The following is a 10,979-nucleotide window of genomic DNA, read 5'->3' as shown; positions in this document are numbered from 1 at the left end:
TACAACTGAACTCTCTCTCTGCCACCCAGCCCCAATTCAATCACAATGCTAGTGTGACCTCCAATTGCTGATATTCCAAATTCTGAATATTATATTTAGAGATCTCTAGTGGAGATCACAGATTTCAAAAGAGTGAAACAAAATGTGGAGACCATAAGGAACATTGTAAAGCTTAATACTGTTACCAAAGTTCAGCTTCGTATTAGGTGAAAATATCATATAGGGCTCGGTTCTTCTCTGTCTGTGAGGCAAACAGGGCTGCCCCAAGATGCAGGGGAAAGCAGAGCTTTCTTGCAGCTTCTCCTTCTCTGAGTTGAGCCTGGAAGAGGAAATTTTAAGTGTAACTAAGGGGGAATGGGCCAGCCCTGCTTACACATGGCAGTGGTAAACAGAGTAAGCTCTGCACTTTACATAAATGCTCAAATCCTGCACTTTTATATAAAATGTATTGACTGACCAGCATATATTGGACACTTAACTATTTAGAATTTTTTAAAAAAGAAAAACCAAAAAAAGATGCTTCTGGCAGGGCTGCCTTTATGCAAAGTATTAAAAGTGACTCATCTGGATTATGGCTTTTTCTAACCCCACCCTTCCGTGTTTGCCTTTCCTTTTGCTGAGCAAAACTTTATGCCAGGCAGGGCTCACTGCTAGTGAGGGGAATTTGGGCACGGTTCCAGGCCCCACTTGTTCCCTTGTCTTGAGCATCCTTGCAGTGATCCTTACAGTGATTTGGACTTGCCAGAGTTGCATCGGGATTGGCAGGAGAGTGCCCAGGGCTGCAGCGATGCATGTGGAGCACTGTGAGTGGAACTGGAGTTGGTCTGGCAGGCCTGGTTCAAAGTGCAGAGGTGAGAGGCAGCATCAAAATCATGTAGGAATCCCCTAAGCATTGACATACGTTGTCCCACCCAGCATCTCTGCAGGTAGAGCCCAGGCAAGCATAGAGCTGCAGGGGATGTGTTAATATTGTCAGTCCTGGAGTGTGAGGACATGGCTAGGAAGGTTTAGGGATTGGGCATTGCAGATCCTGCAGCCTCAGCTGCTAGAAGAGGCCCCAGAAGGTGGTCACCATTGTCTGGAGTCTTCTTCTGCCTTTAAGGTCAGAGCAGCTGGGGGAACTTTCCCAATCCTAGTCTCACCAGGCTTCTTCACCACCTAGGTTGAGCAGATAAGAATCCAGGCTCCTGGTGACCTTCATTCATTCAACATATAATTACCAAGGGCTTTGCATGTGCCAGGCACTGTGTTAGGCACTGGGGAGACAGTGCTGAGCAAGAAAGATGTCATGTCTGCTTCATGAAGCTTAACCCTAGCAGAGGGACCCTAAAAAGATATATAAGTAGTCATTACTTTTACCTGAATAACTAGACGAAGTGCAACACCATCATCCTCCAAGGTCTTGGCCAGGCACAAATCTCTTGACACCTTTTCTAAAGGAATTCAGACTTAGTTTGTAGATGGAAATGTATGTGTAGAGTCAAAGGGAGTTGAAAGACCATCTGGTACCCCTGCCTCTAGCTCACAGATGAGTACATTGACATACAGAGCCATGAGGAAACTTGCCATGGTCACATGGCTTATTGGGCCCACAAATAGATTTGAGAATGTATTCCCAACCACATACAAGATGCAAATGTGTATCCTAACATACTCTAATTATAAAACATGCATAATTATATTAGTGAATAGCAGGAAGTATAGGGGTAGAAAGTCCCAAATCACAGTAACCGTATTTTTGATTTTGGAATGCATTTCTGCATAACATATGAACCTGAATACGCCTGAAGTCCTGGGAATTCCCTTCAAACAAAGTGATGAAACTGCACAATAATGACCTGACTCAAGAGTTGCCGGGAAGCTGTCCAATATTTCCACGCTGGCTCTTGCTCAATTCTTCTGTGAAGTCTGTGCCTTCCGGTGAAAGTAGATTTCTAGGTCTTAGAGAATGATAGAAGGCCTCTCCTCTGCCCCACCTCTTTCATGCCTTTCATGTAGGCAAAGTAGACAGGGAGGGTGTTTTCTCCCAATCAAGCTATAATCAAACTGACTTAGAAGAAGCTATTAATGGTGAGTATCTGGATTGTTGCCAAAACAAGTATCTATTGTACTTTGTGAGGACTTCACCTCCTGTCCAGGAGGCCTGATTTTATCGGGCAGTCTGGGAAATCCCTTGGAGAGCTGGTCTGCTGCTTACAATAGAAAATTTCATAACGCTTCCCCTTGATGGTTTCCAGAGACCACACATTACTCTGGGTAGTTCTATAAACATACGTTTTTAAAGATGATTTAAGCTGAGCATTGGCAGGCCTGTTTGAAGGTTATTTTAATGGTAGTAGTAGAATTGGAAGATGTATTAATAACAATCCCAGTGAAGCTGATGCTGATGGGAATGATTTAAACATTTAAATTGTTTAGGTTGTAAGAAAATGTGTATTTTAAAAAATGTGTGAATTTGGTTGATTTCACTCTGTAGTCACCCTCTGGCTCAGTCTAATAGGGCAACCTGACCTCACAGCTTCACTCCATCGAAAGTGATTCTGACCCTGATGAAAATGAGGTTCTTGGAACAGGATGATCTGACGGGACAAGTTAGGCTTCTATTCCCTGTGTTATCTGGAATCCCATTGGTTGCTCAGATACTTCACTGGCATTAAGGGAATTCACTTAAGCAAGCCAGCCTCTTACTGTTTTTTCTTCCCAATCTCTTAGGGACCAGTTGGTGATCAAGAGGGTGTGGCCATAAACTTTTGCATGAGAGCAGCTTCTCCATTGGGTACTATTTACTCCCTTGCTTGCGTCCACGTTGCTTAATGGCAAATAGCTACACTGAAAAGAATCTTGCAGCAAAGGCAGGGGCGCACAAACTCCAATTAGAAATATGAAAGATTTTTAAATGGGTAAAAAGGATCACTGAGTGTCTTGTCTAGGGGTCATGTCTAACTTTCATTGTCTCTGAGCTATTTTACAACTCTGTAAGTTATGGAAAACTGATCATGCAAAATATTCTTATCCATAGAAAGGAAAGCAGTGAATTGTGTCTGCTGAAATGCAATTGATTATTGCTCTGAGGATATTCATCAGTTTTTCACCTATTCATTTCAGCATTCCTGCATATATATGTGCTTCTTCTTGGAACCAGCTGTAACATCTTACTGCTTCCTCATTAGCTAGAGTCAAATAAATAAAACCTTATTTATAAATATAAATATAAAATGAATAAATGAATAACATTTATTCATTTTATATTTGTCTGAGTGTCACAATTTAAACTACCCAAAAATATTAGTGTTTAAAGTATGTGTAAGCTGTGTCTCATGCAATACAGCTGCGGAAATATTTTTTAATATGGATTGTGATGATTATGAAGTAGGAAGTTGTAGCAAGTTCACCTCTATAAACCACCTAAAATGATGGTAGAGAACACTCAGTAAAATAACTGAAATATTTAATAAAAAGGGTCTGTCAAGCCTTGGACTCCAACATACAGAGAAAGTGGGTGAAGTATTTGTGTCAGGGGATCAAGAGGGTGGACCCCTCACTCTGGTGGGAGCTTCTGGTCATCACTTCCATGTCGTAACCACACCCAGTTGAGTGAAAACGAGACAGCCCGACATGAGGCAGCCGTAGGACCCACTTCCTGTTATTATGTGATGATTAACTGGTGCCTGCCTAAGATCCCAAAGCTACAAAAGGCCTGTCATGCTACCCAGAGGAGGCTCCTTTGTTGGTCAAAAATAAATAAGCCAAGACCCAGTGTAGAGAGAGGTAGAGGTAGCATGATGACCTGACAGGGTATAGTTTCCTTTCTTCCCTGTCATCTCATCTCTACATTTACCAGTACTATAAAAATGAGGAGGAGAAGAAGTGCAACATGCACACAACCTAGAGATGCTATAAGCTATTGCATTTATTTTTGGTTTGTTCTTACCTGACTTTCAGAAAAATCTATTCACTATGGGGAAAATTGAAGAATTGTCACTTTCAAGTTTAATGTTAATCCAAAGCAGACATTATTCTTTACACAAAAGAAAAAGGATTACCAAACTGTAGGATCCTATTTTCATTTAAATATATATATATATACACACACATATATATACACATATATACACATATATATACATATATACACATATATATACATATATACACATATATATATATACATATATACACACATATATATGTAATGTCTGGCAGAATATATGCAAAAAATTATCTTGGTAAATTGCAGGCAATTTTTTATTGATTTTATTTTTTGCTAACTGATTTTTTAAAATTTCTTGTAATAGATCTGAATTATAAAATGAGGAAAAAATTAAAAACAGATAAACTTAATTTAATCCTCAAGTCTATTAGGTAGGGTCTTTAAGTTAACAAGAAAGAGACCTACATGGGTTACCTTCATGGATGGGCTTTAAAAAAAAAATAGAAAACTGAAAACCCAAAAGGGACATCACAGCAATTTGTGTTATCAGCTGAATTGTCATCACTCCAGACCCAGAGTTTCTAAGACTGGGGTGTAGGGAACATCTCCCTGACAATTCGCTCAGTTAGACAGTAAAATCTTTAGGGAGCTGCATCCTAGAGAAATGATCGATGTTATGACTTAGAGTTCATCATAGGGCCATGATTTTTAAACAATAGGGAATTCTTTTCAGACTGTATTCGGCCTTCAAGTTGCTCTCTTCTGGCCAGTGAAGGAGGAGGTATCAAAACCTTTCACATGTTGCCAAATTCAGATAGCTGAAGCTCAGAGACAGAGAGACTGAGAACTTTTTGCAATTAATATAAAAATTCCTAGAGCTTCTGGATAGCTGAATATGTGGAGGTTCCTGGCAGGTGGTGGACCCAGGGAAGGCATGGAAGCTCCACACCTCTCCCCTGTACCTCGCCCTATGCATCTCTTCATGTGTATCTTTGTAGCATCCTTTATAGTAAAATGGTGAATGTAAAAAAAATATATATATAAACATATTTATTTTATATATAATATAAATTCCTGGAATTGACCAATGGAAATGACCAATTTGAAACAAACTGAATGAAAATACAAAAGGATTAGCAAAAGATAGAGAATCAGGATGACAATCCCTAAGAAAAGATAGGAAAAGAGATGTTTTACTATTTCTTAGGAGGAAGGGATTGGGTTTAAACATCAAAACCACACTGCATATTTTATATTGAATGGTCCATAACTGAGTCTCCAGGAAGGGCTTACAGTCTATACAAGTTGAAACTTCAAGGATGTCTACTAGGCCTGTGGGCAAACTTCAAGCCATCATTCGGATACCAAGGGGCCTCGCGGCATGGAAAATTGACTGGGCATTTTGAGGATGACCACTGAACCCTGGCTCTAAAATGCCTAAGCCAGAGGAAAACAAAGTTTACCTCTAAACACCCTCCCCTCACCCAGCCTCCGGCAGTGTACAGGATGGGCAGTGTTCCCTCCAGGCAGAAGCAGGAGAGTTGAGTTAAGCAGTAACTTCCTTAGGTATGCAGGTTCAATAGCGGATGCCAGATTGGCTACCAAGTCAGCCTCATTTGGACCAGTTCCATAAGTTATAAGGAGAAAGGGCTATATGATACAGAGCAAAATATAATAACAGCAGTAATAAACATACAAAAAAATCTGAAGGCACAAGACAGCACTGCCTTACTTATGGTAAACTTGAAGGGATATTTCTTCTCTTCCATTTCAGAGAGAGATGTTTGGTATGGAAAGGAGGGGAAACAATGATCACACATTGGAAGAAGACTGGGAGAGACTTGGTAATGAAACTGGCAGTAGAAATAAAATGGGGCCCCACAGGCTCTGCAAGGCACTTCTGTGGCAGTGACGGACTTCCCGCTCTGGCCACTAGGATGGTAGGAAGGCAGCCATCTTTGGCAGTGGCAGAGACGGTGCTACTTCTTCCACAAGCAATTGTGTGACATGCTATGGGTTTGTGCTGGGACCAAAGATGGAATTAGGGAGTAGTGAAGACCCTAGAGCTGTACCTGAGAACAAACCCAGGAGTTTCTTATATATCTCTTAGAAAGACTGATTTGCAGGTGTGGAATAGGCAAACTCCAGCTAGTGACTTTGATTATTCTTAAATGACATATTCTGTTGTCATGTATAAATTATATGATAAAATAACCCCTTCTTGTAGATGGTTAGATGTCTTAGCTAGGTGTGTCCACTAGAAAATTTCAGCAATCCTTCTAGTGTCCACCTTTATATAAGGATGTTGGGAAGATAAAGTAGTATCACCTTTAGGAAAGCAATTTACCAATACATACCCCATGAATTTAAAGTCACTTTTACTCTTTGTCCAGTAATTCCATTTTTAGAAACTTATCCGAAAGAAAGAATGCTAAATGCAAAGATCGATGCCTAAAGATGTTTATTATTAGTGTGTTATTTTCCTTTTTTTAAAAGACAGGGTCTCACTCCTTCACCCAGGCTGGAGTGCAGTGACTTGATCATAGTTCACTAGCATGATACTTATAAAAGTCGAAAAGTGCTATCAATCTAAATGCTTAAACATTGGAGATTAAGTAAATTATGAAAATCCACATTATGGATGTAATGGAACTATTAAAATGATGGTTATAGTTTTTTTAATATCATTGAGGTCTGATATTTTAAAAGGAAAAAAGCAAGCTAGCAAAATTTAATATTCAATATAAATTCTCAGCCATATAAAATAATATGCAGTATACATAGAAATGGGAAATAGATTAAAAATTATATCTCTGAGTGATAAGGGTCTCTGATTTTTATTCCATTATGTTTACTTTTTTAAATATTCTGTTTCTCAAGTTTCTATAATAGGCAAATAACCTATAATCTAAAAAAGAAATGCATACATGTGTGTGTATTTCTACATAAACAGGCATGCACACACACATATATATATTTGGTGTCTTGACAGGGAAACAGCTCCACCTGTATATGATGTTTGCCTCCTGTGTCACAAGCTCATTATCTTTATAGCTTTTTCCCCCTAGTTTGAATAATAGTTGTGAATATATTTGTACTATTCCTTTTATTCCCTCTCCCCATAAACTACCACACACACCCTACATACCCACACAACACACAGACATACCCACACACAATTAAAATCTTTGTCGACAGGGACCTGACATCCATTTGGATAATGTACATAAACTCCCTCCTCTGAATGTTTTCTCTCGGGCTCCCTTCCTCCCGTTCTTCCTTCCTTTTTCACCTTCCTCTTTGCTGCCATTTGCCACTCAGGCATGCCTGTGGCCTGAGGAGGAACTGAGTGAGATGGAGGTGGGGAGGGGAAGCAAAGGCCAGCAGATTTCCTTGGCAGGAGCAGAGGTGGCCGTGTCAGCGAGCAATGAGCCAGAAGCTGCTGAGACAGGGTTCGGGGAAGTTGGCCAAAGGCCTGGGAAGCAGGTTGGAATCATTTGGATAAGAGGAGACAGGCCATTTGGAGCCCCAGTATGTTGCCCGGCAGGAATAACCAACATTCCAGAGAAGGCTCACTGTAAGCATCGCCCCTGGCCAAGGTGCACTGCACAGCTTGCGAGCCTGTCCTCACCTCCAGTGTGCCAGGAAACACAGCAGCAGTGCAGAGTTGTTCTTTTGCAGTGTGTTGAGGAGGATATTTCCTCTCCCCTTTCCCTATATCCCTGGCTTTGTGTACAACAGAGGTCACAGATTCAAGTGCCTCAGGATGAGGCTGTTATGTAAGTGAGGCAGGCTAAGTGTGATGAGACACGGAGTGACAGGGACTGCAACATACTGGGAAGGCTTGCTCCCTGAAGTGGTCAGGCATAGTTTCATGCCAGCATTTTTGCTTATCAGGTATAAGGCCAAGGGTTGCAGGTCTTCCAGTTTCTTAAGGAAAGCTGAAAATCCAGAGAAGCTTGGAATTCTTGCATGTGCACACACTCACATGTGTGTATATGAAATCTAACTGTTTAAAATGTTGGCTCAATTACAAAAACACTGTGTAGACCAAATACAACATATCTGCTGGCTGGATTTAACCTATGTACCACTGGTTTGGGAATCTAAAATAAAATCATATAAGACTGCCTCCCTTTTTTATGGCTAGTAAGAAACATGATGTCTCTTATAAAGAGACACATATTTAGCTGCTATTATGTACCCATCGTTATCCTAGATACCACAAGGGATCCATGAGAAAGAGTGTTGTTCTCTGCCTTCTAGGAGCTTAAAATATTGTTGAAGCAATAAGATTTTCACTCAGGAAAGTTAGGTAATAGTGCTATGCTGGATATCAATATTGAAGCCTAAATGGATCAGATCAGATACACCAAAATCACCTTAGAAAGAAAGAATGGCTTTTAAATCTACAGCAAAACTCAGCCATAGTAAAACCAGTGGCATGAAAGCATCTAGGGTATTGTTCACCTTTGTATTCCCAGCACTTGGCACATAGTAGGTGATGTTCAACAAATATTTCTTGAATAAAAGAATAAAATTAATGAGTCACAGGAGGGAAAAAGTCTTGGGGGCTTAGAAAAATGTCAAAACAGAGAGGCAGATACTTTTATTGTTGGTATGACACTATTCACTGGAGAGAGACACTGAATTTGGGAGACTGGAGCATTTGGTCATTAGGGTCTTCATGGCTGCTAGGGAGCAGAAGTATGTAACCAGCTCTCACTGTAACCCATATCATAGTTTACAGGACTATTTGCCTTCTTTGTTAAAAACATCTACTCAACCTCCTAATGACCAATTAAGCTTCCCTGACATTTTGATGCAAGGAGAAAGGAGCCTGGACAGGGGACCCGGCACTCTGCTGATATGAGTGGTCTGTGTCTCTTCATAATGAGCATTCTGATTTACATTTTGGTGTCTGGATTATTGGGTTAGCCTCCTTCCATGTCCCCTGGTCAGCTGCCACTCTTTGGGATCCTGTCTTGGTAACTGCAACCAATCTTCCTTGAAATACCTCAATGAAATCAGACCCTGTCAGACCCTTGGTCCAGTTCATCATCCGTTTACTCCTGCAATTGGCATCACAGAATAAGGGCCCAAATAAGCAAAGCAGATAGGATGCACAGTTGTAGATCAAAGACGGAACTAATTATTTTGTTTTCAATAGTCAAGGGAGTCTCAGAAACAAAAAGGGGCCAGGGATGGGTTTTAAGAAAATGAATCTGTTCTGGAAAGATGGAGAGGATGGAGAAAAGATGATTTGGATGGTGGGGATGAAACCAATTTGTTTTATCAGAAAGTTTGTTTTGGGGGAGCAGGGAGAAAGAATGTTGATTAGGTCAGCCTGAAAGCCAGGCTGAAGGTTTGGGCTTTATCCAACACATGTATGGAGGAGAAACTAAAATTCTGAGGAAATGAATGACAGGAAGAAATTGGTGTTTTACTTAGATTGTTTGGTATCGGTGGACAGAGCTTCATTGCATTCTCATTATTGTTCAGAATTAATGAATCAATCCTGAAGGGCTTTGTGGGAGTCAAACAAGGCCCTCGCCAGGAATGTGAGCTGATTGCAAATGCCTTACGCTTGGTTTCCGGGAGACAGGTGGACTATCTGAGAACACAATGGTCCCTGGATTTCTGGAACAAGCTCAGCCATGAAGAATGCAGCATGAGAAATACCTCGATGAAATCAGACCCTGTCATTATTAATAGCCCATCTTTGTCAATCCTGATGGAACAAAGCTCATGTTTTCATGGTTGTCCTGGACAACATTTCCAACACAGCCATTTACACCCCTTAGAAGCACGCTTAGCCTTTGGCAATGCCAGGAAATCAAAGTTGTAGCCATGCGAGTCCCCAAGATTTAGAAGTAAGAGAAACTTCCCTGGGCCTCATGGTCACAGTTCCATGAGGAACTCCTGGCAAGCAGCAGGGACAGGTGCTCACAGGGCCACTAAAATGAGCTGGGGAACTTGCACAGGTCACAAATATCTGGAGCCACAGTTTTCCATTTGTTGTGAGCTTAGAACCCATTCTTTAAATGAGAACTTATCTAGAATTCCAATACATTGAATGGATAAAAATGCCAAGGCTCTGGCTGGAGGATGGGGGTGTCTTTTCTGATGAGTTTTACCCACCAGGCTGTCCACAGCTAAGAGACCTCTATCTCTGGGGAGCCTGAGCCATCTCCACCCAATCCCAGGGATCCCTAAAACACAATGTGAAGCCAACTGGCCTAGGGCATACACCTGCAGGTGAAAACTTGGCTTAGCTGTGGCTCACGGTAATGTTATTAATTATAGTCACACTTTTAAGTTACACTTATTTTTCACTTATTATGTGCCACAGATTATTCTAATAACTTAACATTAATTTATTGAACCCCCCACAAAAACCCCATGAGTTAGGAACTATTATTACCCTTCTCTTAAAATCAGGAAGCCAAAGTCAAAGGAAATATAGCAATTTACCCAAGCTAGGAAGTGGTAAAGCCAGACTTTGATCCCAGGAAGTCACATTTCAGAACCAGCTTTCTGAATAACTCAGTCTAATTAGTTCTACCTTATTACCTTGGGCAAGTTATTAAATGTGTAGGATTTGTGTGCAAGCGTCTAGTTTTAGCTCTCTTCCCCTTCCCTAAAAAGAGAGGAATGGGCAGAAGAGCCAATCAGGTTTCGCAGGGGCCTGGACCCATGGCTAGGTTTCTTCTGTTCCTCTTTGCAACACTGGAAAACAAACAACTCCTCTAATAGCGCCAGAGAAATCTGACATCCTTGCTCAGTGTTTCACAGGAGGAAGAACTATAGCACTGAAGCCATGGCTATAAATATCAGAGTTAATGAGGGAGGACTCCTGGAGACCTAAATGAATCTATTTTATGGGTTTGTCATACAGCAGGTTAATATGATTCTGACAAATAATTATATTGAAAACTGGACAGGGACTGAGAATGTTGTTATTCCTTTTGAATGTTACAGCAGAGTCTTCTGGCCAATTAAAGGGTGATGACGCCAACACCCAAAGTGCAGAGCAAAACTGTAACAA

General features: G+C 40.9%; 3 annotated features.

Annotated features, from left to right (window-relative positions):
• Nucleotides 3,526-3,585: an enhancer, noted in NCBI's record as "active region_20207". NCBI's record gives its function as "activates an Ori minimal core promoter by ATAC-STARR-seq in GM12878 lymphoblastoid cells {active_cell/tissue: GM12878}" and the evidence as "EXISTENCE:reporter gene assay evidence [ECO:0000049][PMID:35858748]".
• Nucleotides 6,986-7,486: an enhancer, noted in NCBI's record as "H3K4me1 hESC enhancer chr3:107700679-107701179 (GRCh37/hg19 assembly coordinates)". NCBI's record gives its function as "activates a minimal SCP1, AML or CMV promoter by ChIP-STARR-seq in primed H9 embryonic stem cells {active_cell/tissue: H9 hESC(primed)}" and the evidence as "EXISTENCE:reporter gene assay evidence [ECO:0000049][PMID:30033119]".
• Nucleotides 7,487-7,987: an enhancer, noted in NCBI's record as "H3K4me1 hESC enhancer chr3:107700178-107700678 (GRCh37/hg19 assembly coordinates)". NCBI's record gives its function as "activates a minimal SCP1, AML or CMV promoter by ChIP-STARR-seq in primed H9 embryonic stem cells {active_cell/tissue: H9 hESC(primed)}" and the evidence as "EXISTENCE:reporter gene assay evidence [ECO:0000049][PMID:30033119]".

The sequence above is a fragment of the Homo sapiens genome, chromosome 3 (assembly GCF_000001405.40).
Source record: "Homo sapiens chromosome 3, GRCh38.p14 Primary Assembly".
NCBI classification, from domain to species: Eukaryota; Metazoa; Chordata; class Mammalia; order Primates; family Hominidae; genus Homo; species Homo sapiens.
This window is presented reverse-complemented; position numbering and strand designations above follow the sequence as displayed.